A 19,003-nucleotide genomic window follows, 5' to 3' on the forward strand; every position below is an offset into this window, starting at 1 on the left:
GGATATTTCTCTGGGTCCCAGGAAGAAATGTGCCAACGGAGCAGTGTGGTCTTTGGACAGGGTTTTAAATTGAAGGCAGGCAAGGCTAAGTCCACTGTCAGACTGTGTGGCCTTGGGGTTTGTGCTTCTATGGAAGGCCCTTCTTTAAATGGGCTGGAAGAGGTTGCAGCAATGTGGGATCCCATCCATGGTCATTGGGAAACTGGCCTTATGTCCCTGCAGGGCCTTTTCTCAACTTGAAAGGAAGTGAAAATATCTGAGAACAGCACCAGTCAATACGATGACTTTCTTGCCCTAGGAAAAGTCATGCACTGAGCCCAAATACATTTGTTTATCCTGGGAGACTGAAAAGAACCAGACCCAGGCACCTAGAGGCCTCATGAGCACCAGGGTCCTCAGCGATGAGGGGAATGAGAGCTGCTGTCCCTCTGCAGGCTGAGCCTGGGCACACAGCTGCTCCTCCTGTTCCTCCTCTGTCCAGCAATGGACAGCCCAAAGCACCAGGCTCCCCATGTGAGATAAGCAGGGAGAAAATGCCAGGTTAACTTCAAGATTCATTAGAAATTCCAGGGGGAAATGAACAGTTGCCAAGTGAGAAAGGAAAGGGCAAGCCCATTCTAAGTGAGAGGAGATGTTTCCTTTGCTGTGGCGCTCCAAGGGGTGACAAAGAGTGCTGAGATGAAGGGACAGAGCGTCAGTCCTCAATAGCTGCCCCGAGCCATCCTTCAGTGAATCTTTAACTGAGGGCTGACAGGAGGACAGCCACGTCGCAGAGGAAGATAAATGGATGGGGAGTCCAGCTAAGTTAACCAACTGGTCTTGGCTTGCCCAGATCATTCTAGGTTTTAGCATTCAAAGTCCCACATCCCAGGAATCCCCTCCACCCAGGGCAAAGGGGGAAGGTCATCCCCCTAATTCCAGCAAGTGGCTGTTGAAGGTGCTTCATGCTACAGTGTTCAAGGTGAGGCGGGTGGCTCCGAGAGATGGTCCACAGAAAGGATACCTGCCGTACCTGCCATAGGATACCTGGTTAATGTCAGGTTAATTTCAAGATTCATTAGAAGTTCCAGGGGGAAATGAACAGTTGCCAAGTGAGAAAGGAAAGGGCAAACCCATTCCAACTGAGATGAGATGTGCCCTTCGCTGTGGAGCTCCAGGGCAGATGACAAACAGTGCTGAGATGAAGGAATGGAGCATCCTGGGCTTGCAAATCCCGAGGGGAACTCACCCTCTTCAAACATGTCAAGTCTGCTCACCGGGTCATCTGAACACAAGTAGAGTCATTTCAAGATTAATGAATCTTGAAATTAACCCAGCAAGTGCCCATGCTGAGGCTCTGGGAGGTCATCTGACTTACCCAAGATCACACAGCTAGGATTTGAACCCCAAGTCTTTGCAGAGGAGGGAGCAAGAGGAGAGCAGCAGAAGCCTTCGAGCCTGAGCTGCCCCATCTCTGAGAGCCATAAGCACATCAGCTCTGCTACTCCTGGTTCTCTCCCAGAGACTCAAGAGGAGCCAGCTCAATCCACAGCCCCAGGCTCAGCAAGAGGCTTGAGTGCGGCACCACAGGGCCAACAGGAGAGGCAGAGCTGTGAGGCCACAGACCCTTACAGCTACTTGACATTATGGCTAAGCAGTCCCTGAGGAAGCTTAGAGGTGCAGAGAGATAGAGAGAGACTTGCTCTTGGTCTCAGAGGCCCAAAAGGAAACACAGGGGCTTCAAACTCGACCCCCATCCTGGGCTTGCAAATTCCCAGGGGAACTCATCTGCCGCAGACATGTCAAGTCTGCTCACCGAGTCATCTCAACACAAGTAGAATCACTCCTTTGAGTCTCACGTGCCCCATGCCTTGTTTTCTCCAGGGTAATGAGCTCTGGTTCCTTCAATGGTTTCTCTTATGAGCTGGTTTTGAGTCTTCGCCTTGCTGGGCTTGTTCCCTCAGTGTTTGCTTCAGTACATCATATGTATTAAAAGACAGCTCTTCTGGCTCTTCTTAGTTGGGAGATAGCAATAAGGATTGGAAAGAGACAAAGGGGGAAGGAACAGGCATCAGGGTTTCAACACAAACTGATGTTCATTGAATCCTTATAAAGTTCCCTAGAACTGAATGGAACCTTCCAAGAGTGGTTAACCAGAGCCGACTGCAGCTCAGACCCTTATTCTAAACACTCTTGCAACACTAATTTATTGTTGTGGCCCTCCCATTCCATGGCTAACTCGTATCATTAAGAAGCCCTAGAGTCTTCATAACTCTAAAGCCATGCCTCCTAAATCCAGTTGGCTTTTGGGGCAGAACTTTACTTTTATCCCTGTTACACGGTGCCTTGTTGACTCATCCCTCCATCCTTGTCTGTACAGATCTTTAGGGATCCTCAGAATTACCTAACCCTTCCCAATTCCATGTCAGCTGCACATCTGATTAGCCTGCTTATTCTCAATAAAACTGCACATTCTTTAGAGTTTGAGTCTTAGGCAGGGAAAAATAGTTTTAGAGGAACAAACGCCCCCCCCCACCCCCCGCCCCCGCCAACCAGGTTACTTCAATGCTTGTTCATTTCCCTGCCTAGATAACATCCCCTCTCTCTGCACACTGAGCCCAGCAGCCCAGGTCCTGCCCAACAGAGCTCCTTTTTTATTTTCTGACTGGTCAACCCCAAAAGTCCAACCATTTTCCCGAGCTCTGCATGCCTGGAAGCTAAGTCCAAAGTCCCTGAGCTCCAGTGTCCAGGCTATATGTCATTCCTCTTCTTTGTAGATATGGGAAGATTTCTTTGCAGACATGAGGAAGTTTCTTGACTTAGAAAGATGTACCTGGTCCACTGTGGGCATGCAGTGAATGTTCATCAAATGAAAGGAAAATAAGCACCTTCCATATATATGTGTGAAGTTCTGAATTCGGCATTGGCCTCAAGAAGGCTTCAATGTTCATCCTTTCCACTGGGCCATCCCTAAAATCCTTAAGCAGAGGGACTACCTCTGTACTTAAAGATCTCCAAACAGAAAGATAGCACATTCTCTTTACAGCCAGTAGAAACTATTGAGCTCATCTCTCCATTGACTCATTCACTTGCTAACTCATTTATTGAGCACATGCTATGCGCCAGGCCTTGAGTAGGCACTGGGGATACAGAAGTGATTATAAAATGACCTCCAGGAGCTGACAGTCTACTGAGGAAGGCAGCCATGGAAACAGTGCTTCTGTCACGTATAATGTGCCCCCAGTGTGGTGAAGCATTAATAAAACTTGTCATGAGCGCCCACAGGCAAGGGTCAACCCCTGCTTGGAAGAGATGATATTTGGGCAAAGGTGGAAACAAGTGCCTGTAATCCAGTTCCTCCAATCTCCTTGGGGAGGAAAAGGTAAGGTAGGTTCTCTTTTCAACCTGTTTCCAATTCCTAGTGGGGAACAAACCTATAAGGGCCACAAGCCTGAGTGAAGAGAAACTACTGAGTTCTCCCATCCCCTCCAGTGTCCTGAATCAGCGTGCAAGTCTGTGTTTCCTTACATCTCTCCCAAAAGAGCTGGGTGGCAAGCTGAGCCCTTTGCTGCAAGTGAGGGCTGCAGTTTGCACATCCAAGGCCCCAGATGGGCCTTGGCTGGCATCTAGCACCACCTACTGGCCACGGAAGGAAAAGCAAAGGTCCAGCTGCCACCTCTCCCCCAGGGCTCCTGCAGTCACGCCTTGCCTGGATGCTGCATCCCTTCACACCCTGATTATCACCCTGGAGCCCCATCTCGCCACCCAAGGGCAGAGGGCAAACTTCAAAGGTGACACAGACACTCTGAAGGAAACAAGAGGCCACAAAGCCAGCTGGAGCAGGCAGACACAGGGACAGAATCTGTGCCCTGGAGCCTGAGGGGCAGGCTGAGAGGGCGGAGCAGGATGGGGCCTGAGAAAGAGGTCAAAAAGGGACAGCAGCACAGTGAATGACAGTCAGAACCAAGCAGTGGAGACACGGAAGATGCTGGAGGGTTCTATGGAATCTTCCTGGAGAAGGACCTGAGGTCCCAGAAAGGAGTCACATTCCGGCCCCAGCAGGTCAGGTGCTGAGGCTGCCCTCATCCTAGACAATGTCACCCTTCTTGTACCCAGGTGCTTCCAGGCAGCTCCTCCCAGCCCTCTGACCTCCACGAGCGGCACTTGCCCAGGGCTGCTCCCAGCACTGCAGCTGGAGCCAGGACACACCCTTCTTGGTGCCCAGCTCAGCTCCAGCTCGTCTTAGTCGGGAGACAGCCATGAAGACTGGAAAGAGACAAAGGGAGAAGGAACAGAGGTGAGGGTTTCAGCATAAGCTGATATTACATGAATCACATATAGAGTTCCTGATGTAAGATTAAATTGCAATTAAGCATCCTTCAATTTTGAATCACTGGCTCAGGGATTTCTGCTTAAAAGATAGCTTCCTGGGCACTGGCAGAAGCTGACATCCCTGATAGTCCACGCTCCCTCCTTTTTCAGGGGCTACAAACAGGGGCCCATGGAGAAGCACATGGAGCTTCAGGTAAAATTTTGGGCTTTGGAATCAGACACACCAGCTGTTGACTTGGGCGAGTCACTTAACATCTCTGAGCCTTGCGCTCCTCTGAAAAATAAGGATGGCGAAACCACCTCATCGAACTGTTGTAAAGAGTAAGCACACAAACCACTTAGCCCAGTACCTGGAAGATAAGCTCAATAAATATTGGCTAGGAAAAAACAAAAACCAAGACCTTGACGGCTTCGTCGCTGAGCACGCTGCATCCCCTTGCTTGGAATAAATTCTAAGGCATGGCTCAGCAGCCTCCCCCAGCCAGCTCCCAGCCTCCGTGGGTGAGGGAGGAAAGGCGGGGGCAGGGGCCTGTTCTCACCCGGAGAAGATTGCTCTTGGGGTGGGTGATGACTGTGCACCCCACCCACTAGGGAAGGCGCTCAGTGAGTGAACGGAAAAAGCCAGCACCCCTCTCTGCAGCATTCATTATTCAGAACTTCCCACAGCCTGATGCCTGCTATGGGGGTGTGCGAGGAACACCAGCCAAGGCCAGTTTTGCCTTCTCTGCCTGAGAGGTGGACAGCAAGACTAGTGCAGAGACCCAGAAGGAAGTTGGGTCCATCTTCCAAAACCCTGGCTCTCCAAAGCTCCAGGTGATGGGGTTGGCAGGTATTAGAAAGGGAGCTGGGGCTTTCCAAGCATTCAGCCCTAAATTAGTGCTTCTCAAACTTCACTATGCATGAAAACCACCTGGAGGGCTTGTTAAAACACAGATTGCTGGGCCCCATCCCTAGACATGCTGATCCAGAAGGTCTGAAGGGAGGCCCCAGATTCTGCATTTCCAACAGTTCCCAGGTGCTATTGCTGCTGCTGTTGCTGCTGTGGGATTATGTAAATTTAAGTCGATTAAAATTATATTAAATTAGAATTTAAGTACAGTTGCTTGGTTGCACTGGCCACATTTCACAGACTCAGTAGACACATATGGCTAGTGGGTCCACATTGGACAGTGCAAATAGAGAACATTTCTATAGTTGTGGGAAGTTCTATCAAACAGCACTGCTCTAGAAAGTCTACCAGAATGATGGGTTTATCAAGGGCGATGGGCTAGGAGTGAAAGAGAGACTAATGGAAAGCCCCTGGGCTGTTGAAGCTTTGTGGGAGCTTGAAGAACCGGCAGGGGGGTAGGACAGGCCCCTTGAAGACTCTCTGGAAGGATCAGGGTGTGGCAGCCCCAGCTCCTTGCTGACCATGAGAGAGAAACACGAGGCACCATGGGAACACAGAGGAGGGGTATTTTTAAAAACCAGCCCGGGGGAGTCAGTGGAGTTGAGACATAAGCTGGAATCTGAGGGAAGGATGAGTAGGGAACCAGGCCTCCAGTATTTTTTGCTCAACTGCGATCCACTCGCCCACAGGCCTGCAAGTATCCTTGTCACTCAGGACGTGAGCAAGCGGTTGGGTTTTGTTGTGTGAGGCAGGGGCAGCCGTGAAGGACAGAGCCTGTGCCAGGGAAGGAGCCTGAATAATGTGATGTCTGCTCCGAGGAGAAGCATACATCCGAGTTCTGAACAGATGGCCCAGCAAAAGGGGTTAAGTAAAGAGATCGCTGCGAGGAGTCTTGTCACTTGCATTTGAGCGGAGACCTAGGAGGAACAGACTTTTGGTGGGTCCGAAATAGCAAGTGCCAGGGAGGAGAGCAAGCCGCCTTCCCTCCCCCCAACTCCTCCTCCCGCTGCACACACTCCCTCCCCCTGCCCATCTTCTCCCAGAGACAGATAGGGGCTTCTGACAACAGCTTTCCAAGGGAGGGAAGGGAAGCGCCTGTGGGTTCTGCCATGTGTGTCTTTGTCACACAGAAAAACAGTTCCATCCTTGAACACAAAGAAAGCCTCCTGGCGGGGCAAGAAGCTCCCAGTTCACACCCTCCCTACGCTCAGATTTCCAAGGGCTCAAACCTTCCTTCCAAGTATTCAGATCCTGACCCCACACCTTTGCTCTTTCCACCTTTACTTCCATTTGTGCCCTTTCTGTTAGGGGGCCTGCCAAGCAGACTACCCCCTGCCAGTCAGTCTGGGGCACAATGCTAATAGCTACTTGTAGAAAGACCTGGAGGACAGGAGATGCTGGAGCACCTAAGGAGCTCGGGTTTCCTCCGGCAGCCTCCATTCCTCCCTTCCATCCCCTTTGCTTCCTCTCCATTCCCAGGTGCTATTGCCCTTTCTATCTCTTCTTCCCCTCACATCCTTCCCTCTCATTCCTCTTTCTTTGCCTTTCTTTCTTCTTCTCAGATCCCCTGATTCCCAAGAAAGCCAAGTCCATTCCCAAGTTCTAGGTCTAAACTGAGTTTCACACCCCTTCCTCACCCACCTCTCCTCCCAATAAATCCAATAAATTTTAGGACCAATCTTCCCTCTTGTCTCCCCTTCTGGACACAGCCCAAGAACCACTCTGCCTGCCTTTCCCAGTCAACCAGTCTCCTTTCTGAAAGCCTCTGTCTTCCTAAACTTAACTTTCAGCCTCTTCTGACTGCTCATTTCTGACAATCCTTGTAACCAAAATCAATGACTCATTCCAGACTTTTTCTTTTCAGTTTCTCCAGACTCATCATCCCCGATCCCAAGGTGAGTAACCTGGACCCTGGTCTCACCATTCTTCTCCCTGTCGAGAAATCATACCTTTCTCATATATAAAGCTCACTTTTATATCGGATAACTTTTTTGGTCTATAAGGAAGGCAGATTTTATGATGCCTTAAAAACAAAAAAAAATTGTATGTAGCATATGCATGATTGCGAAAGGCAAAAAGAAATCACCCACAGACTCAAATTTAGTACTTTCAACCAACTTCGCCTGGCTGGACTTCCTTCTGGAATATGGTGAAAAAATAGTCACCACCTTGGAACACGAGTAGGGGATGCCATTCGGACAGCGGGAGTAAAAGGGGGCAAGTGTTTCTAAAATCTCCCTGAAAGATCTATTTCTTGTTGAGAACACCTAGACCAAGGTTTCATAACCCAGGCGCTATTGACACTTGGGGCTGGAGAGTTCCATGTTGTAGGGTTGTCCCATGCATTGTGGGATGTTTAGAAGCATTCCTGGCCTCTATTCTCTAAATGCCAAAGTAGCACCCTCCTTCCTTCCCAGTTGTGACATGAAAAATGTCACCAGATGTTGCTAAAAGTCCTCTGGGGTGAGGGGGAAAATCACCTCTCATTGAGAACCAATGACCTGGACATAATCAGGTTGCTTTCACATGACAGGGAAGAGATGAGTGATTCTGCACGACCTTCAGAGGCCCTGGGGGAAGGAATAGGAGTCTCTCTATCTCAGGTGAGGCCACTCTCCAGCTTGGGACTGACGCCTTAGTGCTTGGCCTAAAGAACAGTAACAATGGCTCGTGTGCATTGAGTTTCAGCATGTTTCGGGCACGGAGCTGTAGCGTGCATCCCATGAGGGCATCCCATGCGGGCATCCCATGCGTCATGTACCCTACATCATACAATCTCACCATGCCCGGGGAGTAACCTGAGACTTGGGGAGGCCTGAAGCCTGACTTAGAACTTCATCCTGCCTCCATGTTTACACATTTGTTCCTTATCTCCTTGGTTCCATCTTTGTAGAGATGAATGAATGCAGAACAAGTGCAAAGTTCACACCATAAGCTCCAAGTGTGCAAGATATTTTCAAACGTGCATTCCAAAACTCTACCTAATTTCTAATCTTGAGCCTCCTTTTGCCTGGTTGGCAGAAATGTGATCTTAGTCCTTCTTGAGGCTTTCCTGCCCTCCATACTCCCTGGGATTAGGTCAGGGTTCCTGGGTTCTAAGTTGTGCCAACACATGGTGGGGAGATAGACGGTGTGAGGAATGCTGCTGGCCATCTGTCCACTCAGATTACACTTGAAGCATTCACTGTTTCTCTGTATGGCTCATTCAGGCAGGTCTGATGGTTCACTACTTCTTCTGCACAGTACTTGAGACTAAGGACCGTTTTTCAAGGCTATCTATAATCCCATGTGGCATGCTGTATTTTCCAAAGAGGCCAGAATATCTTTCATCCCACATGCTCTTCTCACAATATAACTTTGAAACTTCATCCATCAAGAGATAGAGTCTTGTGCCTATAGCAGAAGTGACACTATGGGACTCTAAAGGGAGATACAGCTGTGCCTGGCTCTTTTGGGATGCTTGCTCTTGGAAATTAAGCCTCCATGCTATGAGGAAGCCCAAGCAGCCACATAAAGAATATGCATGCAGGGTTCCAGGTGACAGTCCCAACTGAGACCCCAGCTGACAGCCAGCAGCAACTGCCAGACATATGGGTGAATAAGCCTATGGGTGATTCCAGCCCCAGGCCAGCCAGCAAATCACTCCCTGCCTTTGACCCTTCCGAGAACTCAAGGAGTAGGGACAAGCCATTCCTAATGGCCTCTTTCTGCATTCCTGACCCACCAAGTCTGTAAGCATAATAAAATGATTGCTTTACAAAATTTGAAGTGGTTTGTTATGCATCAATTGTACGTGGAACATCCTGTCTGCCCAATGCATCAATATGCAGACACACCTGTCTGAGGTCTTGCCTCCTCCCTGGCATAAGTCCACACTGATTTGGAGGTTGCACGCATCTCTCCTCATCTCTCCTGCCTGGGGATCCTCTCTCCAGTCCACTGTGGAGAGTCGTTTTCCTTTTTGTTTTTCCATGACACTATATTTATACCCAAGCATCTCTTTCTTCTTCCTTTCACCTCCTCCATAATGCATCTAACTTTGCCTAATGGTTTAGGCTTTTGAGGCACAAAAGCCTATGAGATAGGCAGACTTTTCACAATTTCTACCATCTCTCCCCTAGGGCAAGGAGCAGAGTCAGGTAACCTACTTCAGTGGGAGAAGGAAAAGGGAAAAACACCCGCTGGGGGAAAAAGATGTGTAGCTTATTTTTGACAGTTTTATTGAAACATACTTCGCATACCATACAATTCACCCATTTAAAGTGTATAATTCAGCAACTTCTAGTATAATCACAGAGCTGTGCAACCATCACTAGAGTCAAGTTTAGAATATTTACATCACCCCCCCCAAAAAACTCCATATCTCTTAGCCATCATTCCCCAGTACTCCCATACCCCCAGTGCCTGGCAACCACTTTCTGTCTCTATGGATTTGCTTATTCTGACATTTCATCTAAATGGATTCATTCTACACGTGGTCCTTTGTGGCTGGCTTCTTTCACTGAGCATAATGTTCAAGGTTCACCCATGCCACAGCAGATGCACAGATTAATATAATATCTCAAGGCACCACCAAACAAAAAGACATCGTTTCCTTTTCCCCTGCCTCCATGCCAAGTTGTGAAGAATATGTTTTTGCTTTTAAATGGGGGTTCCTGTTCTCCACCCACACAGTCATTTCACATCCAGCCTTTGAAGTAGAATCAGCAACTGGACCCCAAACTGGGGGGGCCACAAATCCCAAGTAAAATGATAATGGAGCTCCAAACAACTCCTCTCCATGGCCCCTTTCTCTGTGTGATTAAGCTCCTGGTGGATGTCTTGAATAAACCATTTATTCTGTTGGACTATACCAGCTGCTATATGGACCCACCACCCAGTTTCTATGAGCTCAGACAGAAAGCCAGGAGCAGAGGAGAAGGCCAGCAAGGCCCTGGCCTTGCCAAGGGTCTTCAAAATACGGGACCTGGAGCAAGGGCACCCACCCTCAGGATTGCTGGCAGGCAGAGGGCCGTGAGCAGGCAGGATTTAGGACCCAGCGCCAAGTGAGGGCAGTGGTAGGGGCTGCCAGTGGAGAGTTTGCGGCTCGCCCAAGAAATGGATGAAGAATGGGATGGAGAGGAGCATGACCATCAATGAACCACAAAGCCTTTTAGCATCCATTTGCGACTGCTGCTGAACAAACAATTGCAAACACACCAGTCACTAGCTGGGGCTTGGCTCTCCTGGGACAGCCTTGAACTCCAGCCCAGAGCCCCATCCCCAAACAAAGGATAGAGGAGGTGCTCTCAGCAACCCCATCTCCATCTCTGCCGCTAAATCCAGACCTCGAACGTTGCAGCCCTCCAACTGTGTTCTGGTCCTTGGCAAGGAGGAGTCCTCAATATCTTTAGCTCAGTGAGCAGTGGTCCTGCTAAGGCGGTTCCATGAGAAATAGAGATGAGTTGCTGGGATCTGGTATTTTCATAACAACTGTTTAGATATCAGCTTTCAGAATCAGACTCTGTGGAATCCACCCATCCTTGGAGGAAGACACAGTTCCTCTGCGTTAAGGTTTATGCAACAGGTTCCATTCCCCTGAAACAAAGGACAGGAGGCTTGTAGAGCCCTTGATTTGGATAAGCAGAAGCAGGCTGTCCCTCTGGTGTTCCCCTTCTGTCCCCATTCATTCCATAGCATGACAGACCCAAACGTCTGATCAACTAGGCTTGGTGTGAGGGCTAAGAGCTATATGGAGTGCAAAAAGCCCCATGGGTCTCCCAAAGGGGATGTGAATTCCTTGGGAGGAACAAAAGATCACACCCACCCACCCAATGTGCCCTCTTTGATCCATAAATCAGCCTGATCCTCTGGCACATCTCCCAGATACAGGGGCCAGGCATGGATGGGAGCTCTCTTCTATGAGGTAGATAGGAACACTGGAGCACTGGGGAACCAGGTGTCAAGGCAGCCACCCCTTCCGCTAGCTGACTACTTTATCAACGGGAGGCAGAAAGAAGTTTTATTAAAATGGAAAACTCCTACTTAGAAACCAAAACACAGTGGACACTCATTGAGGTCTTATTCACTCTAAATTTGTCAACTCTACAGGACTTTAAGACCCAGTGGCAAAAGAGGGCAAAAAGGACAACCATGGAAGGTATATAAAAGGGCATAACACAAAAAAATCAACTAAGCCGGGCTCAGGGAGCACCCTCTCCCCAGACTTGGGTCCCAATGCCATCAGCTGGTAGGCAGAAGTGCCAACATTGCTACAAAGTTCTGCCCCCTCACCCACCTCCTCGCTGCCCTGCTGTCCTCCCCTCCCCTCCCCCTCCCCAGTGGCGTCTGCCTGTTTATTTGCTGAGCCCTGGTTTAACAATGCCCTGTTTTTATGAGTTGTGCCGTAGTTCTTGGTAAAGCACTTTAATCCACTTTAATGCCCCCACTCTGCTCCTCCGTGACAGCCTGGTGGTTACTCTAATGCATCCCTCTCACCTCAGGGTTACTAATGAGGTCAGAGGGAACGCAATATCCCAACTGAATAATTCACTAATCAGATGCTACAGACTCCAGTGGTAAAATTTATTTCTGACACCTAAACGGCAAATGGGTTTGTGGACACACTCCCTCCCTCTCTTTGCTCCAGAGCTATTTCTGCTAAATGGAGGGCTGCTGTGTTTGCTTAACAAAAGGGCTCTGGTCTGGCCACAAACACATCTCCTCATCTGGGGTCTTGCATGCCTTCAGGAAAGTGAAGTCAGGGTGGGGGGCACAGCAGGTGGAGGCCTGTTTAGAGGGGGCTCACAGCGGATGATGGTGCTGTCAGAGCCTCCTTTCCCTTCCCTTTTGAGGCTGGTAGCAGCTCACCTAACCCCCAGCCCCCCAAACCTCATTCCATCCTCGTGCCAGTGAACACACCTCCGTCCCGTGCTCCACTGTTAGGTGAGTCATTCTAACCAGCTCTGGTGTTGGGCACCTTGCAGATGTGTAGACACTCCCCAGAACCATTCTCCAGGAAAATGCACACGTTTGTGATAATTTTGCACTCTGTTTTAGGGGGCTCCCAGCTTCTCTCAGGACCTCAGTCTCAGGATAAGGTTCTTCTCTGCATTTAGCTTTCCTAGATTACCATCAGGTTATTTTCCATACTAGGCATCCATGTTCCCAGTTTATAAAATGGAGAGGAAGAGCCAGGTGTCTCCAAGCTCTCTGCCCACTCTGAGATTCTCTGCACCTCAAACAGAGACCACAAGGCCCAGTTCTTTATGCATCAGCCCAGCCACTAGAGCCAGGACCCTTACGCAGGCAGCTGCCTCAGAGGGAGGAATTGGCACTCAGCCTCGCACACCCACTCCCTCAGGGGCTGCACAGATACACAGAGCCATCTTCATATTCCAGGCAGATTCCATCCATCCATCCAGAGTCCAGAGAGTGTCCCCCATCTTCCAACAGATGGGGAGCTTCAAGTTTAGGCTGCAGCCAAAGTTTCCACAGGAACCTAGCAACCACCCCTGTTCTGGAAACTTCCAGGCTTCCTTGGATCGTGCCAGATTTCTTTTTACCCTCTTCAAGTGAGCAGTGGCCAGCATTTGCAAAGTCAACCAGTGTGCCTGTGCTCTAGGACTCAAGGGCACCCTGCCCAGCTTCACCTGCCTTCCAGGGTGCAGCCTGTCAGGGCACCAGCACCCCAGGCATAGGGCTCTATTAATATCATTTGTACTTAATTGACTAAACCATGATATATGCAGAGGGGTACAAGAGAACCTGAATATCCCTCAAAAATATGAGCTGTTTTTCAAAATTATCTTCAATTCTCCAACACGCCCTACCAATCAGATATGCATTGTCACGGAATTCAAACTGGAACCTCTGGGGCTTCCCTCCTTTCCTAATGTCCCTCCCACCATGCCTCAGGTTCTGGCCAAAGGGCTGGAGTCCACAAGCCTGTTTCTGACCCTAGGCAAGGAAACCGTTTCAAGAAAAGGGGCTGGAAGAGCCTTGGATATCTGAGATAGCTGGCTGAGTGGAAGTGGGCACAGCCTTCATCTTTGTGTGTTTTTATTAATCAGCTCCCATGCCACCTGAGGCTGGTTGCCCATCCCTGCCTCTCCAGGCCACACCGAGGTGCTAGAGATGGGGAGCAGCTTAGCAGCTAATGAAGGAAGGGGCCCTCTCTGCAGCGCAAGGGGGAGGGCGTGCATCAGCTCTGCTGGCAGCTCAGGCAGCCTTAATTGCCTGTCCCCCAGCCCAGCCCCTTGCAGCTCTCCTCCTTCACCCTGCCCCCCACCCCCTCTCTCTGCAAGAAGCTAAATGGGCCTCTGCTCCATGCCCCGAGGGCCCCACGGGAGTGAGGTTCCCCCACTGAGCCATGTGTCCGGGTCACAGGTCTCCAGTCTGCCTTCTGTAAACAGAGGCAAAGGTGGCGGCTCCTCACCAGCCTGTCAGAGCCGCCCCGGCGCGCCGACTGCAGCAGCTCCCCACTTGACCCTTGCTCTGAGGTGTGACCCCAGCTTTGCACTCCGATTCTAATTTAGGAACCCTCCTCCTTGCCTGGGTCCAGGGAGCCTTGCGCCTGGCATACGGGTCTGAGTCCTGCATTGCTGACTCAGGCAGATTAAGCCTGAAGCTCTGGCTACTGAGCCTGGTGGTGCTGGCAGAGTCTGTCACCAGCAGTTCTAGTCCCTGGCATCCAGCTCAGGCTCCCTGGTTCCAGCTCTGGGCAGTGTTCTTTGTGGCTGACCTTTCCAGAATCTGTCTCCGCACCCTTCCATCTCTTGGTGATCAGCCTTGAGCCCTGAGGCTTCTGTCTCCTTTTAATCCAGAATGAGACTGTCCTTGGCCTGACACCCCATGGCTCTGCGGCCCCAGTCTCTCAGTGGAATTGACATTCATTGAGTGGCTTCCACGTGCCAGACATTGTGTTGAGGAATTTAACCCTCAAGGCAACTCTAAGACTTTGCCAGTCCCTGGCCAGCCTGTCTTGAGCTTCAGTGGCAGAGGTAGGGCATGCTTTCCCAAGGAATAGCAGACTGGGAGTTAGAAAGCTGAGTTCCACACCTAATGACTTTGACTTGCACATTGTTCAATTTCCATTTTTAAAATGGGACCCCCAAAACCCCCTCCTAAAAAAGCCTGTCGGAACCCAATGTAAGAGCGATTTTTAAAGGAAGGAAACTTTTGGGTTCCCTCAGAATTCCAGACCCCTGGGATGTCCCCACCCCTCTAACTCAGTTTCTCCCTCCAGGTTGTCTAAATGAAGAGATAAGCACAGGAAAATGTGCCCTATTCTTCACTGACTTGTTCATATATTGTTCCATTTATCTTCATTCCAACCATGCATGCACCCATTCAAAAACTCCTTTCATCTTTTGAAAGGGTTAATTCACTCAGAAATTCACCCATTCACACACCTATACATCCATTTATCCCACCCACCCACTCGTCTACCCACCAACCTATTTATCTGTCTACTCATCCATCTATCCATTCACCCATTCATCTATTCTCCCATCCATTCATCAAACCACACACCTATCCATTCATGCATTCATTGACTCCGTCATAAATTTCACCCATCCTTCCATCCATCCCACCTATATTCATTCACTCACACACCCATCCACCACCTACTCACTCATCCATCTATTTATCCACTTACTCACCCATCTATCTACTCACCCACCCATTTATTTATCTACCCAGTCATTTCTCTATTGACCCATTCATCTGCCTATCCTCTCATTCATCCATCAAATCACACATCTATTCATTCCTCTACTTATTAATTTATTTGTAAATTCCATCCATCCTTCTACCCACCTTTCCATGCGATTGCTCTCCCATTTACCTTCCTACAAATTTATCTATCAACTCACCCATCCATCCACCCATTCATCAATCTATCTACCATTCATTAATCTTTCTAGCCTTCTACCCATCTTTCTCTTCATTATTTTGACCACCCACTGTATTCTACACCCTAGATTATGTATTAAAGATAAAGAGATGAGTAAATCACAAATTCTGCCTTTCAAGAGGTCAAATTATAATGCATAAGACAGTGACACAAAAATAGGCAATGGCAATGTGATTTGATGAAGAATGGCTGAGTGGGAAGCATGAAAACATGTGGGATTTAGAAGGGCCTCTGTGGGGATTAGAGAAGACTTCTCCCACTAACTGATATCTGGCCTGGGCTTCAACAGGTGATTAAGAGTTCACTAGGTGAGCAGGTGAAGTCAGTGCTCAGCAGAGGCAACTGCATGCAGAAAAGCATAAAATTCTAAGAGAAAAGCTCTGCAAAGCTCTACAATGGTGGCTCTCAACATGGTGTGATCTTGCCCTTCAGGAGACATTTGACAATATCTGGAGACATTTTTGGTTGTCACAACTTGGGGGTGCCACCGGCTAAACAGCCTACAATTCACAGGACAGCCTCCACTCCAAAATGTCAATAGTACCAATGTTGAGAAACTGTGAAACCTTCTCTAGAAAGATGACAGGCAGTTTCAGGATTGTTGGAGTAAAGAAAAGAGGAAGCAATGAGAGAAAGTCCCAGAGAGGTAGACAGGAGCTAGATCAGAGACTGCAAACCACATTTATCAAATGCTTAAGCATTGGGAACTCAGAGATACAATCGGATTCAGTCACTGTTCTCCAGAGCTTTGAACTCTCATTGAAGAAATGGCCCATGTCCACAAAGGGAGTGGAACCTCTAGTAATTGAGATCCTACTATGTGCCAGTCACAGTATTAGAATGTTTTTTTTTTTTTGAGACAGGATCTCACTCCATCGCCCAGACTGGAGTGCAGTGGCGCAATCTCTGCTCACTGCAGCCTTGACCTTCTGGGTTCAAGAAATCCTCCTGCCTCCGCCTCCCAAGTAGCTGGGACTACAGTCACATGCCACCACCAAAATTTAGATTGAGTAAGCTTGTGTATGTTTTGTAGAGACAGGGTTTTGTCATGTCTCTCAGGATGGTCTCAAACTCCTGAGCGCAAGCGATCCACCCACTTTGATCTCCCAAAGTGCTGGGATTACAAGTTCGAGCCACTAGAATTTGTATATATATTATATCATGGATTTTTTTTACAATAATTCTATGAGGTAGGTTCCATTTTCCCGATGAGAAAGCTGAGGCTCAGAAAAGTTTTCAAAAGCCTGGTTCTATATCACACAGTGAGTAAGTGGTAATGCATCGCAGTCCACACTGCCCAGCCTGACTGATCGAGGTGGCAGACTTGGCAAATTAATAGCAGAGACCTTGATAGAGGGGGCAGTCCACAGAGACCTCATGGGAAGAGCAGAATGTGGCCTGGAATAAAGAAAAGGGATGAGATAGGCGAGAGGGACAGGGTGGCAGGAGGATTGTCAGTAAAGGCACAGGTGAGAAAGAGTGGGGCAGGTTCTGGAAACCCTAGGCAGTCAGGGGATTGAAGGATGCACGAGAAGAGAAAAGGGTCCTATTGGAAGCTTACTGCAGGGCCCTGCAGGTCTAGGTATTCACTCAAGGCCATGGGAACAGAACGAAGGCCAAGGCAGAGGCATTAGAAAGACTTCAGCAGCAACCTCTGAGGAATGAACAGAGAGAGAGAGGAGGAGTTGGGGAAAATGTTATGTTTCGAACATGAGTTTTACCGAGAAATCTCTGTTCCTGGCCCTTCTACATGTAGAAGCTGCCTCTCCCTTCCCCCATCAGTTTCCAGGGGGAAGGGGCAGCTCACTCAGATGCCAAAGGAGAGCCTGCTGCTGTAGCCTGCTCTGGCCAGTCTTGGAAGGACAGAGCTGTTGTCTTTTGGGGCATCACATTCACCTCTGTTAAAAAAGCTGCATCCTCTCCCTGGATTCCTTCTCATTCACCACATTCATCTCACACACATGCACACACATGCATAGACATGCACACACATGCAAACACATACACAGGCATGCACACACATGCACAGACATGTATGCATGTGCACCCACACGGACATATACGCGCGCGCACACATGCACATACATGCAGACATGCACAAACATGCACATACATACACAAACATGCACCCACACATAGACAGGCATGCACACACATGAACGCACATGCACACGCATGCACATACACACATACAACATGCACATGCATGCACATACACGCACGTGGATGCACATGCACACACATGCACATACATGCATGCACAAACACCAGATCTGAGGGTTTCATGGGCACTGCTCATCAGACGAGAGAGATAGCCTGCTGGAGAAAAAAAATATTTGCTGACCCTTCTGCTCTGAGCTGCATTTGGGGTGAGAGTCTCAGAGAGAATCAATTTCATCCAAGAAATCTGAAAACAGAGAGAAAAGAGGAGGAGCCAGCTTCAGCAGCAGCCAGAGAGACAAGGTAAGGGAGCCATAGTTCAGGCCAGGGAAAATCTTTACAAATTAAATTTCTGGCTGTAGTGGAGAAGACCTAGGGCTGCAGGAGAGGCCTTACCTCTCTGGAGAAGTCCAGTGCTCCAGGGTCAAATAGCCACCCGTGGTGTCCTAGGGAGTCGTGTAGAAAGAACAAGAAAAACCTGCCCCGGGAGAGCAGTGGCTCCCTGCCAGCCTGCCCCACCCACTGGTATCTTGAGCCCCATTTCTCCTTTATTCTTTAGCATCTCAACTCTCCTCCTAGGAGGAAGAGGGTATGGGGAGGTCCAGAGACTGTGCCTCCAGGGTGAGGTCTTAGAGTTGGGGACAATCCAGGCAAGCTGAGGGGTCGTGTAGGGCTGAAACAAGGGTGTTACCTTCCACCTATAGAGACCCCAAGGAAGAGGCAGCTAAGGCCCTGGATCCAAAAGGAACCTTCAAAAGCTAGTCAACGGGGTTCTCTTTCTCTCTGGATCTGGCTGGCCCCTCTCTTTCACTCCTTGCTTGAAGGGCACCTGAGTGGGTCACATATGGCTGTGTTGTGAGGTCATGGTCAGTGCTACATCCACGGAAGAGCATCCTGGGGAAGGGAGGGCCTCACAGCAGATGGTGTGGGAAACAGTGTGTGTGTGTGTGTGTGTGTGTGTGTGTGTGTGTGTGTGTGTGTGTGTGTGTGTGTGCGTGCATGCAAGTGCATGTACCCAGGATGTTGGGCAGCAAGAGTCAACCTCAGCCCACCTCTTGGGGCAAAGACAGGCCGCCTAGCTATCAGCCTTCTCTGACTCTGGGCTGATGAATCACACACCATCATCTTCACCTGGACTGAGTTTGAAGAACGAGACTGCAAAGGCTTGTGGGAAGAGTCCTGAGGACAAAAGCTCAGGGAGTTCCAGGAAACCAGCCCCTCTAGTCAGCAAAGCAAAGACTCACCCTGAAGTGAGGGGGCAGGACTGCTCACCCTGCCCCACACCAGCTGGCAAGGCTTGTCCAGTCCAGACTCTGGGGCAGGTCTGCATCAGAGTCTCCAACAGCATTGGCAGCAATAGAAATCCTTCCAAAAGCCACGGCCCACTGTGTGGTACCATCAGGGCACCCCCCCCCCCTTCTCTTTGCCAAGGATTTTTATATGCATTGCTTGCATCCCATCCACTGGAACTGTTTCATGAGTGCAACGGAGTGCCTAGAACAGCACTTTGCAGGTATTAGGCATGCAGTAAATACTTAGTGAAGGAATCAATGTTTGCTTGATTTCATCCTCACAACAGTCCTGAAAAGAGGGCAATTCTATCAACCCACTTTGTCAGTGAGAAAGCTAAGGCTTACAGAAGCTGAGTGACTCACACCAGTCATTTAACTTGTGAGAGGTGCAGCCAGAACATGAATCCACGTCCACCTCACTCCAGAGCTCACGGCTGTCCTCTTTCCAACACG

The 19,003-nt window shown here is 49.4% G+C and overlaps 1 long non-coding RNA gene across 2 annotated transcripts, besides 2 other annotated features; it reads left to right on the plus strand.

Annotated features, from left to right (window-relative positions):
* Positions 3,437-3,937: an enhancer, noted in NCBI's record as "H3K4me1 hESC enhancer chr15:88817782-88818282 (GRCh37/hg19 assembly coordinates)". NCBI's record gives its function as "activates a minimal SCP1, AML or CMV promoter by ChIP-STARR-seq in naive H9 embryonic stem cells {active_cell/tissue: H9 hESC(naive)}" and the evidence as "EXISTENCE:reporter gene assay evidence [ECO:0000049][PMID:30033119]".
* Positions 3,938-4,438: an enhancer, noted in NCBI's record as "H3K4me1 hESC enhancer chr15:88818283-88818783 (GRCh37/hg19 assembly coordinates)". NCBI's record gives its function as "activates a minimal SCP1, AML or CMV promoter by ChIP-STARR-seq in naive H9 embryonic stem cells {active_cell/tissue: H9 hESC(naive)}" and the evidence as "EXISTENCE:reporter gene assay evidence [ECO:0000049][PMID:30033119]".
* On the plus strand, positions 6,057-8,869 carry LOC105370957 (uncharacterized). Of its 2 annotated transcripts, XR_932588.2 has the most exons (4): positions 6,057-6,137; positions 7,065-7,095; positions 7,734-7,803; positions 8,410-8,869. It is a non-coding gene; the product is annotated as an uncharacterized LOC105370957 (long non-coding RNA). The 2 variants fall into 2 exon arrangements; XR_932587.2 differs by lacking the exon at positions 8,410-8,869 and having other exon boundaries at positions 7,734-7,817.
* The last annotated feature ends 10,134 nt before the right edge of the window (positions 8,870-19,003 follow it).

This window comes from Homo sapiens, chromosome 15 (genome assembly GCF_000001405.40).
Source record: "Homo sapiens chromosome 15, GRCh38.p14 Primary Assembly".
In the NCBI taxonomy this organism is placed as follows: Eukaryota; Metazoa; Chordata; class Mammalia; order Primates; family Hominidae; genus Homo; species Homo sapiens.